The sequence below is a fragment of the Homo sapiens genome, chromosome 17, assembly GCF_000001405.40.
Source record: "Homo sapiens chromosome 17, GRCh38.p14 Primary Assembly".
In the NCBI taxonomy this organism is placed as follows: Eukaryota; Metazoa; Chordata; class Mammalia; order Primates; family Hominidae; genus Homo; species Homo sapiens.
This window is the reverse complement of record NC_000017.11, coordinates 61781951-61802050: the sequence shown is the minus strand read 5'-3', so window position 1 is coordinate 61802050 and position 20100 is coordinate 61781951. Positions and strand designations below refer to the sequence as shown.

Sequence of the window (20100 nt, the reverse complement as noted above, 5' to 3'; positions counted from 1 at the left end):
TTTTTTGGTACTCCTGAATATTTTGTAGTGAATACTCTTACTTTCTTTTTTTCCCCTTAGGACATTCCAACCTACCTACTTACCTTCCTTCCTTCTTATTTATATTTGAATAAGAAATACTATCACATGGCTCAAAGTTGAAAAGGTACAAAAGGGTCTACAGAGAAAAATCTCTCACTCCTGTGCCCAGTCACTTAATTCTCATCCTTGGAAGCAACCAGTGATACCATTGTTTTGTGAATCCTTTCAGAAGTATTTCATGCCTAACATCAGTTTAATCAGAAAAAAAAAGGCATAACAAACATATTTAAAAGAAATTTTTTTCAAGTTAATTTAGGGTATTTGGAGCTCTTCCGATTTGGACTTCTATCTAAGTCTGAGTCAACCAGACTTCGTTGTGATTGTAGCTATGGTATTGTCTCAAAAAAGACAAAAAATTAGCCAGGTGTGGTGGCGTAGCCAGTAAAATCTTAGCCTTGTGGCTTTAATGATGTTCCTCAAATTCTGAGATAAGCTTATTTTATTCCTTCTATGCTAATATTGGTTCACATTTCAGTTATGCATATTTGTTTCTAGGGAAAATCCTGCTATTTTTATCATGGAGTTCATAAAATTAGTGATCAGCACACATTACAGACTTTCCAAGGGATGTGCAAAGCCTGGGATATAGAAGAACTTGTCAGCCTGGGGAAGAAACTAAAGGCCTGTCCATATTACACAGCCCGAGAACTAATACAAGATGCTGACATCATATTTTGTCCCTACAACTATCTTCTAGATGCACAAATAAGGGAAAGTGTGAGTATATGTGTAAAAATGAGAACCTTCTTCCTACTCATGGAGATGTAAATGTTGAATGTAAAAGCTTTTAGATGTTTTAATTTTTTTTGCTTTAATTTATGTAAATAAATTTGTGTAAACATATTAGAGTACTGAAAACATATCCTAACATGGGTTAAAATCAACCCACTCATTTTAATTTCCAAAATAACAAGCAGTTTTAAGGAACATAGTGACTGAAGTGGGATTACAGCAGGATTTCTCTTTGCATTTATGAATATTCAAAAAGAATTATTTAGAAACATTTCTCTGAAAAAACTATGTTTTGAAGAACTTATGTGGGGGAATAAAATTATGCCTTGTGAGCTTTGAGAAGTGAACTTCAGATAATGGCATTTGTGTTTGTTTGCCTGGTTCTTTTTAGAGACATGCAATTGTTAACAGCATAAGACAAAAAGTGAATAATTTGGCATAGTCAATTGTTATTCCTGTCTTCAGATCTGACTGCACAATTCATCTCAGCTTTCTATTTCTTTAAGATCCAAATTAATAGGCATTATGTTTACTACCCCTTCTATCCTACCTCTTATTTGGTTATCTCTTAACTAGATCTCTTCCTTCTGAGACACTGTGCATATCAATGCCAGGTCAGTTTTCCAAATATTGCTTTTATTACATCCTTTTATCTGCCTAAAAATCTATTGCTTCCTTTGCTCATGAGATAAAGTTCATATTTCTTAAGCTTACACTCAAGATGCTCAATAGTCTGACCTGGATCTGCCCAATTTGAATCCTTCAAAAATTACCTCATACTCCCTTGAGGATACCTTGTTCTTTACTCTATCTTTGCTTTTGATGACACCTCTTTGGAATGCCCTGTCCACTCTTTGTCTGTCCAAATCCAAATCCTACTTATCTTTTAAACCCCAATATATTTCCTACTCTTCCATGGTTTTTTCTCAACTTTTCAGCTGTCTGTGTATTCTTACTTCCTCAAAATAACTCATTGACAATTGCTTTGTGACAGTTCCTTGTATTAGTCAGTACTCTTTCTATTGCAAGTGACACAAACCTACCCTAAAAAATGCTTAAGAAAAAATACTTGATTCTCTTTATTGTGATGGCTTTATTCTCAGGCAAGTTCTCACTCTTGCTTATGGAACAAAGATAACCATAAGCAGCTAGCTCACCTGGAGAAAAGAGCATGGCCACATATTAGTCCCTCCAAATTACTCTGGTTGGCCTACCGTGGATCACATGTCTGTTCCTGAACCTGAACCAGTCACTGTGACCACAGAAGGATGGAATACTCTATTTAACTGACAATCCTGGGCCTTACCCCCATTGTGAAAGTGGTGATGTCCTTTGATTCACAGGTTAATAGTCCTGCCAGCATCACATGGGAGTTGGAGAAGAACAATTCTCCAACTCCCATGTTGGAGAAGGATTGCAGGACAGATTAAAACAAAACATATATATTATGTTAGTATTTTAAGAGTCATTTTAATCTTGTATTGTTATTTTACTTTTAAAGGTTTTATGCTTTTAATCTTGTATTGTTATTTTACTTTTAAAGGTCTTATGCTTTTAATCTTATATTGTTATTTTATTTTTAAAGGTCTTATAATTAGTTTGTAAAATTATGTTGGAAACACTTTCATAGTGGGATTTTATACCTTTCTGTGTAGCCTGTGGTACCTTGATCCAGACTCACTGACATATTTTTGTTGCTGTCGATAGGTTTGCAAAGTATTTTAAGAGTAAAAAAATGGCAAACACAATAATGTAGAGCTGATATTTGGTTGGCCATAGTGCTTCAGAAGTTTTATTTAAGACCTAGAATCTCTGTTGCTTATGTAATTGCATTTGCAATATTGGCCTATAGTGTGAATTTTAAAATGAAATATCTTGCCTGCTGTTGTTAAATCTATTTTGCCAAATGTTTTACAAGAAAATTCTTTTATCTTATAGATGGATTTAAATCTGAAAGAACAGGTTGTCATTTTAGATGAAGCTCATAACATCGAGGACTGTGCTCGGGAATCAGCAAGTTACAGTGTAACAGAAGTTCAGCTTCGGTTTGCTCGGGATGAACTAGATAGTATGGTCAACAATAATATAAGGAAGAAAGATCATGAACCCCTACGAGCTGTGTGCTGTAGCCTCATTAAGTAAGAAGATTTGTCTATTAGTGTATTTGTGCTGCCTTTATATGAAAAATATGTTTGATTATGCCAGAGTATTTAAAGTTAGTAAACTTTGGTTAACTAGGCTTCTTGGGAAATGAATTGTTCCTTGCCAGTTAAGCTTTAAAAACAAGGCTAGTCCAACCTTTTGTCTTGTTCACAAGAATATAATGAACATAAGTGATTTTTAAAAATGAATAATTGTGAATCTTATTCCTAATTTGGCAGGATAACATAATAGCCCCGAAGGATGTGTCTAGGATATTGAACCAGAAACTAAACGTGCTTTTAATTAATATATTTTAAAATTCTGGATCATGGCTTTAATTTATTGCTTTATTCTCCAATTTAAATAGGATTCTAGTTTCATGGGTTTTAATTAATCAAGATTTCAGTACTCTAAAATAATATATTTAGTACTAGCTTTATGACAATTTACACTAATTTTTCTTTTATTAGACATTAAGTTGTTGATCTAGAATCTTGTTACCATAGAAAAAAACTTCCCAACTCTGAATCCCATTTCATTTATTGTAGCATTTTTCTGTTTCCTTCACATTTACACTTTAAAAAAATTTGAATGTTACACAGTCACATGGTTTGAAGACAAAATGTATACAAATTTGTATAGTAAAAACCTCCTTCCAGTTCCATCCCTGATCTGTTTAATGTCTGTGTTCTCCTAAACAAGTTTATCATTCAATGCATATTACTCATTTATGAACCAATATTAGATATATTTTCTTGTCCCTCACTATTTTCCAAATGATGGCATAGTATACATACATTTTTCTGCAACTTGCTTTTTTCAATTCCCAGTGTATTTTGGAGACCTTTCCATGTTAAGACCTAGAAAGCTTTCTCAGTTTAAAAAAAAAATAGATATCTAGAATTCCATTAGATAGATATGCAATAGTTTATTTAACCAGCCTCTGATTAATAGAGGAGGTTGTTTCTAGTTTTTTGCTCTTAAACTGCTATAATGAATAACTTTGAACATACATAATTTCATTTGTATGCAAATATATCTATAGGAATCTTTTTAGAAGTGGAATTGTTGGGTGAAAGCATAGACATATTTGTAATTTCAATAGATATAGCTAACATTTACACAATAGGTGGATGACAGGGGGGCTAATGTATGCTTCTACCAGCAATGTATAAGAGTATGGAAATTGTTTTCTTCTAGCCTGCTAGGTGAAAAGTGGTATCCCAATGTAGTTTTAATATTCATTTTCCTTAATATGCATGAAATTAAGCATCTTTAAAGGCCATTTATATTTCCTTTTGTGTCAACTGCCTGTTGACATCTCTGTCCTTTTTTTGTTCTTATTGTGGTTCTTTTTCTTAATGATTTATAGAACCCCATTCATATATTAGGGAATTAAAATCTTTGCCTGCAATAAGAGTTGTAAATACTTTCCACCCCATTTTGCCATTTGTGTCTTTTCTGGTGGTGTTTTGCCATGCAGATTTTTGTGGTTTTTATTTTACAGCATAACTTGTTGAAAGAGTTGTCTGTAGTTGCTAATTCTATTTTCTCACTTGACATTCTTCCCTCATCGATCTTAGCAGTGTTGCTCTCTGGACAATTCTACGCAAATTGTTTTGATCAAGATCACTAGTGATCTCTATATTGCCAAATACAGAGGTTATTGTTTCTTTTATCTCAGCCAGTCAGTGGTGTTGGGTAGTTGATGACTACCTCTTTGAAAAGCATTTTTGTCTTAGCTTCTGTGACATCTCTGATTTTCCTCCTTCTCACAGTCCATTTTTTTTTATCATTTCTTTTGATAATTCTTATTCTTTTTGATATCTAAATGTTGGGGTGCCTCAGGACTTACTTGGTACTGGGACCTAGTTTCTTCTGTAGTTCTATTTTCCCTAAATAGTTTGTAGTATCATAGCTTAGAATATAATCTTCAGTACTGGTGAGGCCTGAACCTATGTCTCTAGCTTCAGCCTCTCCCTAGAATGCCATTCTTATATCCAACTATCTACTTTATAGCTCTTTTTGTATATCAAAATAGACATTTCAACTTTACATCTAAAACAGAATTGCTTTTCTTCCTGTGTTCTGTTTTCTCCCCAGTCTTCCTCATCTAAGCAAACAGTATGTACCAGTTCCTCAAGTAAAAAAGTTAAATACTATCCTTAATAATATCCTTACTGCCTCACCTCATCCAATTAATGAGTAAGTCTTATAGATGCCACCTGCACAGTATATCCCCAATTCCTCAATATCATTGATTGTTCATATCTATCATCCTACAGTCTTCTCTCAACAAGGATATTATAACAACCTCCTAACAGGTCTCTACTTTCACTCATCTTTCTCCAGTAATCAATTCTAGCTTGGTAGCTAGAATCATTTTTTAAACATGTAAAATAGATAGTCTGTCTTTTATTTAAAACTCTGTATTTAAAACCTTCCCACCAAAACAGCACAGTACTGGCATAAAAACAGACACACAGATCAATGGAACAGAATAGAGAACTCAGAAACAAATCCACACACCTACAGTGAACTCATTTTTGACACAGGTGCCACGAACATGCACTGAGGGAAAGACAGTCTCTTCAATAAATGGTGCCGGGAAAACTGGATATCCATCTACAGGAGAATAAAACAAGACCCCTATCTTTCACCATTAACAAAAATCAAATCAAAATAGATTAAAGACTTAAATCTACAACCTCAAACTATGAAACTACTACCAGAAAACATTGGAAAAACTCTCCAGGACATCGGTCTGGGGAACAACTTCTTGAGCAATACCCCACAAGCACAGGTAACCAAAGCAAAAATGGACAGATGGGATCACATCAAGTTAAAAAGCTGCTGCACAGCAAAGGAAACAATCAACAAAGTGAAGAGGCAACCCACAGAATGGGAGAAAATATTTGCAAACTACCCATCTGACAAGGGATTAATAACCAGAATATATAAGGAGCTCAAACAACTCTGTAGGAAAAAATCTAATAATCTAATTAAAAATGGACAAAAGATTTGAATAGACATTTCTCTAAAGAAGACATACAAATGGCAATCAGACATATGAAAAGTGCTCAACATCATTGATCAGCATTTCTCTGCTGATCAAAACTACAATGAGATATCACCTCACCCCAGTTAAAATGACTTTTATGCAAAAGACAGGCAATAACAAATGCTGGCAAGGATGTGGAGAAAAGACAACCCTCGTATACTGTTGGTGGGAATGTAAATTAGGACAACCACTATGAAGAACAATTTGGAAGTTCCTCAAAAAACTTAAAATAGAGCTACCAAACGATCCAGCAATCCCACTGCTAGATATATACCCAAAATAAAGGAAATCAGTATATCAAAGGTATAGCTATACTCCCATGTTTGCTGCAGCACTATTCACAATAGTCAAGATTTGAAAGCAGCCTAAATGTCCATCAACAGATGAATGGATAAAGAAAATGTGGTTACATATACACAATGGAGTACCATTCAGCCATAACACAGAAGGAGATCCTGTCATTTGCAACAAAATGGATAAAATTGGAAGTCACTATGTTAAGTGAAATAAGCCAGGCACAAAAAGACAAATATCACATATTCTCACTTATTTGTGGGATCTAAAAATGAAAACAATTTAATCCATTGAGATAGAGAGTAGAAGGATGGTTTACCAGAGGCTGGCAAGGGTAGTAGATGGGGATCACAGGGGAGGAGGGGTTGGTTAATGAGTACAAAAAAAAGAAAAATAGAATGAATGAATAAGGCCTAGTATTTGATAGCACAACAGTGTGACTATAGTCAATAATGATTTAACTGTACATTTAAAAATAACTAAAAGAATATAATTGGATTATTTGTAACACAAAGGATTAATGCTTGAGAGGATGGATACCCCATCTTCCATGATGTGATTATTACATATTGCATGCCTGTATCAAAACATGTACCCCATAAATATATACACCTACTATGTACCCACGAAAATTAAAAATTAAAACCCAAGCCTTCCCATTGCCCTTTGAATAAATTCAGATTTCTTATGATGACTCAAGATGACTGATTTCTGCTTATCACTCTGACATTGTTCATACCATTATTCATTTTTGCCCATTGTGCTGCAAATCATATTGGCTTTCTTTCAGATCCTCAAACAAGCAAAATTTGCTAACCACCTCAGGACCTTTCTCCTAGCTGTTCCTTCTGCTTGGATATTTCTTTTCTTCTGATTCTCCCATGACTGGATACTTTTTGCATTCAGTTATTAGAATAAATGTCACCTCAGGGAGAGCATTCTTGACATTAAAATTAAAGTTGCAACTAGGTTATATTAAACTAATTTATTTTCATAATTTATTTGTATATAATTACCTGATTTTTTTTTCATTTTATTAGAACTTTTTTTTTTAACTTTTAAGTTCAGGGGTACATGTGCAGGTTTGTTATACAGGTAAACATGTTATGGGGGTTTGTTGTACATATTATTTCATCACCCAGGTATTAAGCCTTATAACTCATTAGTTATTTTTCCTGATCTTTTCCCGTCTCCAACGCTACACCATCCGATAGGCCCCAGTATGTGCTGTTCCCCTCTTGTCCATGTGGTCTCATCATTTAGCTCTCACTTATAAGTGAGAACATGCAGTATTTTCTGTTCCTGCATTAGTTTGCTAAGGATATGATCTCCAGCTCCATCTATGTTCCCGTAAAGGACATGTTCTTGTTCTTTTTTATGGCCATATAGTATCCCATGACTACCTGACATTTTCTTGTTTATGTATTTGTTTTGATGTTTATTCCTGTCTCCCTTTAGTAGAATGTAATTTCCATGAGAGTAAGGACCTTGCCTATTTTATTTAACTGCTGTTATTTTCACTACCCAGAACAATGTCTGGAATAAAATAGGCATTCAAACACTTAATGTATGAATGTGTATATATATCAATGAATGTATTTATATATTTTCTAGTAATTCTCTTTTTTGTGTTAATATGTAACACTTTAATTTCTTTATTAGGTTGTTTTGCATTTCCTTTTATATATATTTGGGATAAGTACCTAAGACCTGGCTCTCAGTTGAAGAGACATTAGCTAAGTAAAGCAATGTGAATCCACAAAACAAGTGGGAAATCATATGCATGTTTGTTTCTTCTGAATAAAAGCTTTCTTTTCAGTTATATAAAGTTTATTTTGCAATATGAGACATGAATGCTTTTTAAAAGGTGTCTTAATTAATCCACATTCATGTCCTAAGAATGTCAAGATATACAGATCAACGCATGACAATAATGATGATTCTCTTGTTCTGCTGAAATAGTGTGTGTAAGGATGATACTGGTTGACACAATTGTTTTATTTTATTTCAGTTGGTTAGAAGCAAACGCTGAATATCTTGTAGAAAGAGATTATGAATCAGCTTGTAAAATATGGAGTGGAAATGAAATGCTCTTAACTTTACACAAAATGGGTATCACCACTGCTACTTTTCCCATTTTGCAGGTAAGATATTTTTTCTACCTGTGAAACGTATTTAGTGAATTAGAAGTGATTTAGTCGTGACTAAATCCAGATTAAATCTAGTGAGTAACCCAGAATTGTTAAATATAGCAATTTAATTTTTTAAAAATTTTATTATCTAAATTTGATAATCTTTAAGTGATGGCATGGGTAAATTGTGGGTGAAAATATAGCATTATTTAGTTTGAAGGAAATTAGTCTTTAAAGGGATTAATTGCTTTGTTTAAAGCTAAAAGGAGTCAATATTTTTAGGTTGTAGACTTACTTAGTCAATTGTAAAAGTTAAAATTTTAGAAAATAAAAAGAGGAGAAATTCCTATTTTGTTCATCTTAATTTAGAAATTATAAACCTGATATTCATGGAGAGATCATGAGTAGGCTTTGGAAGACTATGAAACTTATGAAGCTATATGCAAAATTTTATGAGCGTATCCTTTTGTACATTTTTCTAAATAGAGGCTGCATAAATTTCATTATATTTTCTAATGTTTTTTGCCGATAAGAATATATTTTCTTTTTTTGTTGCTATTTACTTATTTAAATTAATAGATTATGTATTTTAGAATGGTTGTTTTAGGTTTAGAGAAAAATTAAGCAGAAGGTCCAGAATTCTCATATACTCTCACTCCCAGCTACACACCTATACACATACACAATACACACCAACTCCATAGTTTCCCCATTATTGACCTCTTACAATAGTGTAGTATATTTGTTATAATTGATGAACCATTATTGCTACATTATTGTTCATTAAAGTCCATAGGTTACCTTAAGGTTTACCCCTTGTGTTGTAGAGTTCAATTAGGTTTTGCCTAGGAATCCACCACTACAGTATCATACAGAGTGTGTTCACTGTCCTAAAAATCTTCTGTGTTACACCTATTCATCCCTCCACCACACCACGCCCACACCCACCAAACCCTTGGCAACCACAGATTTTTTTTACTAACTCCATTGTTTTGCCTTTTCTGGAATGCCATATAGTTGAAATTGTGCAGTATGTAGTCTTTTCAGACTGGCTTCTGTCTTAGCAATATGCATATAAGATTCCTCCATGTATTTTTTTGCCTTGATAGCTCATTTCTTCTTATAGCTGAATGATATTTCATTATTTGGATGTACCACAGTTTATCCATTCACCTACTGAAAGAAACATTGATGGTTTCCAGTTTTTGGCAATTGTGAATAAAGCTATTATAAACATTTCTATTAGTGACAAGCTTTCTACTCATTTGGATATTTACTTAGGAACACAATTGTTGTATTATATGGTAAGACTGTGTTTAGCTTTGCAAGAAACTGCTAAACAGTCTTCAAAAGTGGCTGTAACTGCCGGGTATGGTGGTATGCGCCTGTAGTCCCAGCTACTTGGGAGGCTGAGGCAGGAAGATTGCTTGAACCCAGGAATTTGAGGCTGTAGTGCACTATGATTGCATGCTTGTGAATAGCCACTGCTCTCCAGCCTGAGCAACATAGCAAGACTTTGTCTCTTGACAAAAAGTGGCTGTACCATTTTGCATTCCCACCAGCAATGAACAAAAGTTCCTGTTGTTGTACATCTTCACCAGTGAACTTTGGGGCTGAGGACTCTGCTTCTACGAGTACAACTTTTTTAGATGACACATATGAGTGATAGCATGCAGTATTTGTCTTTCTATCAGGCTTATTTCAGATAGCATAATACTTCCAGTTTCATCCATGTTGTTGCAAATGGCAAAATTTTCTTCTTTTTTAAGACTGAATATTTCATTATATATATATGTGCCACATTTTCTTTATTTCATTAATCACTCACTATATTCTCACTTTTCCCCATGGGAAGAATTGTGGGCTAATGGAGGCTCTCTTGGCACTGGGCTGTACTTCCATGGGGCAGGGGTGATGTAGGTAATATGAAACTATACTTTTTGCCCTCTTCAATGCATCTGTTCTTGGATTTTTTGCTCCAATGGGGTCCTGGAACTTCTCTGCTAGACTCTTAGACTCTTAACAAAGGTACTCTCATGTGCGAGTGGTTGTCAGAATTGGTTCATTGTTGGGAGATGACAATGGAAAACTCAAATTCTTTTTTTTTTTTTTTTTTTTTTGAGATGAAGTCTCACTCTGTTGCCCAGGCTGGAGGGCAGTGGCGTGATCTCGGCTCACTGCAACCTCTGCCTCTCGTGTTCAAGTGATCCTCATGTCTAAGCCTCCTGAGTTGCTGGGACTACAGGCATGCCCCACCATGCCCGGCTAATATTTGTATTTTTGGTAGAGACAGGGTTTCACCATGTTGGCCAGGCTGGTGTCAAACTCCTGACCTCAAGTGATCCACCTGCCTTGGCCTCCCAAAGTGCTGGGCTCACAGGTGTGAGTCACCGTGCCTGGCTAGAAAACTCAAATTCTTCCATCTTGCTGATGTTATTTCTCAAAGAGGTTTTTGAACAAAAAAAATGATGAAAATAATTGCCAACATGATCACAATAGTATTCGGGGCATGTGACTATTAAAACATATATTTTAATCAGGATATACTTAAATTTTTGCCCTGCATTTATAAAATGCAGCGTGGTATCTATTGTAAGAATTTTTCCATATTGTGACATCTTTCATAATATTTTTTGCATAAATTGTTTGCATTTTGAAAGCTACTTATATAACAGTAAAATGGGGCTGAGGGTGGTGGTGCATGCCAGTAATCCTACACTTTGACAGGCTGAGGCTGGCGGATTGCTTGAGCCCAGGAGTTCAAGACCAGCCTGGGCAACAAAGACCCTGTTGTCTACAAAAAATTAGCTGGTGTGGTGGCATGCGCTGTAGTCCCAGCTACTTGGGAGGCTGAGGCAGGAGGATCACCTGAACCCAGGAGGTTGAGGCTACAGTGAACCATGATTGCACCACTACACTCCAGCCTGGGGCACAGAGCAAGACCCTGTTTAAAAAAAAAGAAAAGGATAAATTGTAGCATATTCATATAGTGGAATACTACATAGCAATAAAAAATGAACTGCTTCCAACACAACCATATAGATATATATATATATTTTTTTGAGATGGAGTTTCGCCCTTGTTGCCCAGACTGGAGTGCAATGGCGTGATCTCAGCTCACCGCAACCTCTGCCTCCTGGGTTCAAGTGATTCTCCTGCCTCAGACTCCCAAGTAGCTGGGATTACAGGCATGCGCCACCACACCTGGCTAATTTTTTGTATTTTTAGTAGAGACGGAGTTTCTCCATGTTGGTCAGGCTGGCCTCGAACTCCTGACCTCAGGTGATCCGCCCACCATGGCCTCCCAAAGTGCTAGGATTACAGGTGTGAGCCACCGCACCTGGCTCTAGATGAATCTTAAATATTATGTTAGGTGAAGGAAACCAGATTCAAAAGGGTATAAACTGTATAAATCTATTTTTATGAAGTTGAAGAACAGACAAACCTAATTATGGTGACAGAAGTTGAAGTACTGGTTACAACTATGTGGGGGTTTGAAGCAGTTTGGGCTGAGAAGGGGCACAAAGGAACATCTGGGATTCTAGGAATGTTTTGTATCCTGGTCAGGTGTTAGTTACATGGGGAGGTGTGTGTATTTAGTGAGGTGTACATGTAAGATTAGTTCATTCTACTGTATATGTTACATGTCAGTTATAAAATGTACAAATAAAATGTATGTCAAGGGAAAAAAACTGGAAAATACAGAATGGCACAAAGAAAAATGACTCATAAACTCAAAGATGAACATTGTGAACATTGTGATTTATGTCTACTTATGCCTTCTTCTATGCCCATATTTGCTTATTATAAATATATTTCTGATATGACACATTTGTTTTACCCTCTTTTAATTTAACAATATATTGTGTATACTTTCCTATTTAAGTAAAGATTCCTTCACATAATTTTTAATTGCGGTGTAGCATTTTTATGAGTGTACTTATTCTAAATTGATTAATCTGATAAGTTGAAATATAGGTTATTTCCAGTTTCCCAGTATAATAAACAGTTCTGATATGAACATCCCTTATGAATTGTGGTTTTTGAATTTACTTTAAGCAGTCTTTTCTTATCCTATGTTATATTTCTCCTAAAAATTTTAAGGTATTTATTGTTTATAAAGGATGGGATTTATAAATACTTTTACAAAGCCTTGGATTCATTTTGTTTATGTTGTGAATTTATGAATCAATTTTTTTCCTGTATGGATAGAGAATTGTCCCAGCACTGTTTCCTAAATAGTGCATATTAATTTCCCTCTAATTTGTAATGCTACCTCTGCTACCTATTTTTCTTTTTTTAATTAAAAAAATATTTTTTAACTTTTTTTTTTTGTTTTTAAGAGACAGAGTCTTGCTGTGTTGCCCGGAATGAAGTGCAATGGTGCATTCATAGCTCACTGTAACCTTGGATTTCTGGTCTTAAGGGATCCTCCTGCCATAGCCTGCTCAGTAGCTGGGACTACAGGCATGCATTACCACACCTGGCTAATTACTTATTTTTTTATTTATTTTGAGACAGAATCTCACTCTGTTAACCAGGCTGGAGTGCAGTGGTGTGATCTCAGCCCACTGCAACCTCCGCCTCCCAGGTTCAGGCAATTCTTGTGCCTCAGCGCCCCCAAGTACCTGGGACCACAAGCATGCCACCACACCTGGCTCATTTTTTGTATTTTTTTGTAGAGACGGGCTTTTGTCATGTTGCCCAGGCTGGTCTCCAGCTCCTGAGCTCAAGTGATCCACCCGCCTCGGTCTTTCAAAGTGCTAGGATTACAAGCATGAGCCACCCGTGCCTGGCTTAATTTTTTTTATGTTTTGTAGAGACAGGGTCTCACTATGTTGCCTAGGCTGGTCTTGAACTCCTGGCCTCAGGCGATCCTCCCACCTCGGCCTCCTGAAGCACTGGGATTACAAGAGTGAACCACTACACCCAGTCCCTCTAATTTTCATATATGTGTGAATTTATATCTGGACTTGATTGTGTTCCACCATTCTGTTTCTCTAATTTGTCACATTTGTTAATTAATGATTTAAGAAAAGTGCTTATATATAGTAGGGCATATCCCTCACTTTATTATTTTCCTTTGGAATTGTATCAGCTGTCCTTTGTTTTACTCTGCCATTTGAATTTTAGAATTAGCTTATAATCTCTAGGAAAAGTTCTGTTAGAATTTTTATTGTAATTGCACTGTATTTATAGATTAATTTGGAAAGAATTCATGCATTTACATTATGAAGTTTTCCCATTCATGACAAGATATAGTTCTTCATTATTTTTTCCTATCTTTCAATAAAATTTTATAATTTTATTTTTAAAAGATTAGATGGCTTTGGTTAGATTTATTCATGGGTAGCTTAAAGTTTCTGTTTCCATTACAAATGATATATTTTTAAAATTACATTTTTAATTGTTATTGCTATATAAAACTGGTGTTTGATTTTTATATATTTATCTTATAATTGTCTTATTAACCACCTTGTTGAATTATTTTACAGGTTTGCCCACAGATTATCTTAAATTTTCCATGTAGATAACCATATTGTCTGAATAATGACCGGTTTCTTTCTTTCTCATTTCTTTCTATTTCTTCATGTTTTTATTTCTTACTATGCTGTCTCAGACTTCCAGTGCGTTGTTTATCACAGGCAATGAAAAAGACATCCTGGGCCAGGCGCAGTGGCTCACGCCTGTAATCCCAGCACTTTGGGAGGCCGAGGCGGGCAGATCACGAGGTCAGGAGATTGAGACCATCCTGGCTAACACGGTGAAACCCCGTCTCTACTAAAAATACAAAAAATTAGCCGGGCGTGGTGGCGGGCGCCTGTAGTCCCCGCTACTCAGGAGGCTGAGGCAGGAGAATGGCGCAAACCTGGGAGGCGGAGCTTGCAGTGAGCCGAAATCGCGCCACTGCAGTCCAGCCTGGGCGACAGAGCGAGACTCTGTCTCAAAAAAGAAATAAAATAAAATAAAAAAAAGAAAAAGACATCTTGGTTTTGTTGCTTAAAGGAGGAATTACTAGTATTGCACCCTTTATTGAGATGTTTGCTGTGATTAAAAATTCTTTTTTAATTAACAGCTCTATTGAGGTATAATTCACATGCTTAAAATTTACCTTTTTAAAGTGAGTTCTGTGGGTTATTTTTATATTATATATTTATATATAATATATAGTATATATATTATATATTTTATATAAATATTTTATATAAATATATATACTATATATAGTATATAACTATATATAATATATTAATATATAATGTTTTATATATTTTTATATATTTTATATAGTATATAATATATTTTTATATATTTTATATAGTATATAATATATTTTTATATATTTTATATAGTATATAATATATTTTTATATATTTTATATAGTATATAATATATTTTTATATATTTTATATAGTATATAATATATTTTTATATATTTTATATAGTATATAATATATTTTTATATATTTTATATAGTATATAATATATTATATATTAATATATTTATTAATACATAAACATGCAATATATTTATATATAATTATATTTATAAATTTATATAAATTTATATAAATTTATTTATAAATAAAATTATAATTTTATAAAATTATTTATAAATTTATATAAATTTATAAATATAAATATAATATAAATATATTATATATAAATATATTATATATAAATATATATTTTTATATTTACATTATATATAAAATATATTTATATATTAATATATTAATACATATATGAATATATATTTTATATAAATATATTATATAAAATATATTTATATAAAATATATAAATATATAATATATACTATATTATATATAAATATATAATATATAAAATATATAATATAGAAATAACCCACAGAACTCACTTTAAAAAGGTAAATTGTAAGCATGTGAATTATAGCTCAATAAAGCTGTTAATTTTAATTCAATTCAATTCAGTTAATTAAATTAAAAAATTAATTAGAGCTGTTAAATAATATATATATTATATTTTTATTATATTATATATTTTATAGTTATTTTTATTGGATTAAGGAAATTTGCCCTAATTCTAGTTGGCTAAGACATTCATCATTATGATTATCAATATTTTTAGGAATTTTTACCAAAGTAGTATACCTATAGAATATAAAGAGTCAGTTCTGTTGAGAAAAGCATTCCTCTGACCCACTCCTCAATCCCAATTCTCACTTTGGAGTGCACTTTTATCTCTTGTAGTGGTTTCTTCTGATATTTAACCACATTTAAAAAAATAACGTGGGTTCTGCTTCTTTGGAGTTTTCAATTTTAGATGTTGTCTGTTGACTTTCTGTTAAGTATAATGATGATTTAGCTCCTTTAGACACGCACACACTCACACACACTCTTCTCTCTCTGTCACACACACACACACACGCTCACTCATGCGCTCTCTCTTCTTCCTTTGCTTCCTGCTTTTCTGCCCTTCTTTCTTCTCTCTCTTCACTCTCTATTCTGCCAGTATAGTTATATTGATATTCAGCGTGGATATCATCACGTGTATGTATTATTATAGCCCATGATAGTAATGCATGTAGCTTACTTGATTATATTTTTATACAGCTTTATGTATGTTTCCTAAGGAACCATAATTAACTTTTTATTTATTTTTCCATTGCTTAGTTTTCTATTTTTCTACCCCCCCCAACCCAGCTGCCAATGTGTAGGTAAGCTAACTGGAATTGAGCTCGGAGTACTCTAATAATTGAATATGTAGGATTTCATTTAGCCCTTCTGTTTTTAGTACAGCGCCTCACCTTTAGTAGTTTATATTTTCTATATTTTATCAGAGTAAATTGCCAGTGTTCTGCCAGTGTTGGAGAAGGATATTAAGCTTTGATATAAGGTGTTGCTGAGGGGACTTCATTTTTCAAAAAGAATAATTTGATATTTGTATTTCATTGCAGGGCTGAATATTTTTCCAAGTTCATGTTGTCTTTCTTGTTTGTTCTTTGTTGGTTTGTTTTTTAAGTCTTTCTACTTATTTGTATTCTGTAATGTTTTGTTCAGTGAAGGCTGATTTTTACTCTTATAGATTTGTATTGTTTCATGATATATCTGAATATTAAAATGTATCTTTCTTATTTATCCTATTTCCCCATTTTATTTTCATTGAACACATTTTATTGTCAGACATCAGAGTTGTCACCAATATCTTTTATTGCTTCAGTATTCAGAATTTTCTCTTTTACAATGTGGGGAACATACTCTTCTGTTTTCTTATAATTTTGTTTTAATGTCCACACTTTCATCCATATTAAAACTTATGAGCCATGTAAAGACCAAAGAACCAGTTAACATACATTTTGTTATTTAGCATGTATTGTTTCCTTAAGTCATTTAGTTTTGCTTGTGATGTAGTCATATTATTCTCAGCATCAGAATTACTTTCTGGAAATAACTCATGGATTTAAGGCAACATATCAACTCTTTAAAGCCTTTTGGAGAAGCCATTTGCTACATTTTTATTTAATTCCTTACATCTGAAAGGCACCAAATAATACCCTGATTGAATCTTCTAAATACCTAACTTATTATTAAAGAGTCTTTGACTCTGAGGAGAATTTTGCTAATATGGCAATCTAAAATATATTGTTAGCATTGTGCTGTTAATAATTGTCTTTGTTTGTATCACTATAAATACCTGAGGCTGGGTAACTTACAAAGAAAGGAGGTTTATTTGGTTCACAGTTCTGCAGCTTGTACGAAGCATGGCTCCAGCATCTAATTTTGAGGACCTTAGCCTGCTTCCACTGATGGCAAAAGGTGAAGGGGAGCTGGTTTGTACAGATCATATGGCAAGAGAAGAAGCGAGAGAGAGAAGGGAGGGAGGTGTCAGGCTCTTTCTAACAACCAGCTCTCGTGGGAACTAACAGAGCACTAACTCACCCCCTCTCTACTTAGGGAGGGCGTTAATCTATTCATGAGGTATCTACCCCCATGGTCCCAAACCTCCTGATATGCCCCACTTCCATTACTGGGGATGAAATTTCAATATCAGATTTGGAGAAGTCAGACTATCAAACTATAGCAATTCTGTTCACCTAAAATTTCAATGCATGTTTTGTTGGGTTTCATTGTATTTTTGAGAAGTTTCTTTTTCCAATTCCCTCCCAACCCCTCTATACTTAATATGGTAATTTCTTATAGGGACATTTTTCTGCTGTTCTTCAAAAAGAGGAAAAAATCTCACCAATTTATGGTAAAGAGGAGGCAAGAGAAGTACCTGTTATTAGTGCATCAACTCAAATAATGCTTAAAGGACTTTTTATGGTACTTGACTATCTTTTTAGGCAAAATAGCAGGTAAGTGAAGATAACTAGTATGTATTTTCCTTTTAAAAATAGCCTAATTTGGATGCTAGCATGTGTTTAATACATACCTATTTTGGGTGAGTAAATAGGAGAATTGAAAACAAGTGTTATAGATATTATTATATATTTGCTCTTATTGACACAGACTTAGAGGAATTGAAATTAGTCTGATGCTTTTTTGAGACAGGGACTTCTCTGTCACCCAGGCTGAAGTGCAGTTGCATGATCACAGCTCACTGCAACTTTGACCTCCTGGGCTTAAGCAATCCTCCCACCTGTTTCCTGAGTAGCTGGGATTACAGGTGTGCAACACCCACACCCAGCTAATTTTTTAATTTTTATTTTTTTTGTAGAGATGAGATCTCACTATGTTGATCAGGATGGTCTTGAACTCCTGGCCTCAAGTGATCCTCCCACCTCAGCCTCCCAAAGTGCTAGGATTGTAAGTGTGAGCCCATGCCTGGCCAAAATTAGTCTTTTATATTAATGAATATTGAAATCATTAAATAAATATATTTAATTAATTCATATTAAATTATCTTCTATTGCTAAAGTTTTCTTATGTTCCTACAGTGTCAGAAAGTCCCTTTTTTATTGTATGAACTGTGGAAAATGAAAAACAACCAATCCCTCTCATCCTGTAACTTAAATTATAGTAGTACCTAGTTCTGGTATTTTTTTTTTATTGTGGTAAAATATACATAAAATACACCATTTTAACCATTTTACGTATACAACTCAGTGCCATTAAGTACAGTATATTTGCAATGTTGTACATTGTACTCATTTCCAGAGATTTCCAGAAATTTTTTATTATTCCAAATAGGAATTCTGTACCCATGAAATAATAACCCCTAGAGTCTTTCCCCTCATCACCTGCTAACCTGTATTCTATTTTCATCTTATGAAGTCCTTTCTAGGTATTTCACATAAGAGCGATCATACAATGTTTGTCTTTTTGTGTCTGGCTTATTTCAATTCATTTGGCACAGTGTTTTCAGAGTTCATTTATGTAGTAGCATATATCAGAATTTCATTCCTTTCTATGGCTGAATAATACTCCATTGTATGTATATACCACAATTTGTTAATTTATTCTTATGTTAATGGACATTTGGGTTGTTTTCATCTTTTGCCTATTGTAAACAATGCTACTATGAACGTTGGTGTACAAATATCTGAGTTCTGCTTTCAGTTCTTCTGGGTGTATATAAGTACCTAGCAGTGGAATTGCAGAATCATATGGTAATGCTGCATTTAACTTTTTGAGGACTCACCATACTGTTTCTCACAGCAACTGCATTATTTTCCATTCTCATTATCAATGCACAAGGGTTCCAATTTCTACACATCCTTGCCAACAGTTTATGTAGCAGCATATATCAGAATTGTTTTTGCTGACACTCGTTATTTTATTTTTTGTATAATAGCCATCCTAATAGGTATCAAGTGATATCATCTGGTTTTTATTTGTATTTCCTAATGACTAGAGAAGTTGAGAATCTTTTCATGTGCTTATTGGCCAATTGTATGTCTTTTTTTGGAGAAATATCTATTGAAGTCTTTTGCCCACTTTTGAATTATTGGGTTTTTTTGTTGTTGTTGTTGAGCTGTAGTTATTTAGATATTCTGGATGTCAGTCCTGTAAGAGATATATACTTTACAAATATTTTCTCTCATTCTGTGGGTTGTTTTTTCATTTATTCATAGTGTCCTTTGATGCAGAAAAGGTTTTTAATCTTGTTGAAGTCCAATTTATCTTTCTCTTTTCTTGTTGTTGCCTGTACTTTTAGTGTCACATCCAGTAAATCATGGCCAAATCTGATATGAAGATTTCCCCTATGTTTTCTTTTCCTTTTTTTTTTTTTTTTTCTGAGACGGGAGTCTCGCTCTGTCACCCAGGTTGGAGTGCAGTGGCGCGATCTCGGCTCACTGCAAGCTCAGCCTCCCGGGTTCATGCCATTCTCCTGCCTCAGCCTCCCGAGTAGCTGGGACTACAGGCGCCCGCCACTAAGCCCGGCTAATTTTTTGTATTTTCTAGTAGAGACGGGGTTTCACCGTGTTAGCCAGAATGGTCTCGATCTCCTGACCTCGTGATCCGCCCACCTCGGCCTCCCAAAGTGCTGGGATTACAGGCGTGAGCCATCGCACCCGGTCTCCCCTTTGTTTTAAGAGTTTTACAGTTTTTGGCTCCCAGTATTTTTATAAGATTCTCTCCACAGTTGTTAAGTTCCCAACTTTAATTTTGAGATCTAATCTCTCTAGGAGTGAAATGAATAAGGAAATACTATAGCGAAGACATGGTAGAGA

The 20100-nt window shown here is 34.2% G+C and overlaps 1 protein-coding gene across 22 annotated transcripts in view, besides 1 other annotated feature; it reads left to right on the top strand.

The window, feature by feature from the left end:
- Positions 1–20100, top strand: part of BRIP1 (BRCA1 interacting DNA helicase 1) — a 184390-nt gene that overhangs the window by 61478 nt on the left and 102812 nt on the right. For all 22 annotated transcript variants that reach the window (XM_047436893.1, XM_047436891.1, XM_011525333.4 and 19 more), the window contains exons 8-11: positions 577–798; positions 2752–2951; positions 8322–8454; positions 17627–17781. In XM_047436893.1, coding sequence (XP_047292849.1) covers positions 577–798; positions 2752–2951; positions 8322–8454; positions 17627–17781 — 710 coding nt within the window. The remainder of the gene's footprint in view (positions 1–576; positions 799–2751; positions 2952–8321; positions 8455–17626; positions 17782–20100) is intronic.
- Positions 17806–17905: an enhancer, noted in NCBI's record as "active region_12535". NCBI's record gives its function as "activates an Ori minimal core promoter by ATAC-STARR-seq in GM12878 lymphoblastoid cells {active_cell/tissue: GM12878}" and the evidence as "EXISTENCE:reporter gene assay evidence [ECO:0000049][PMID:35858748]".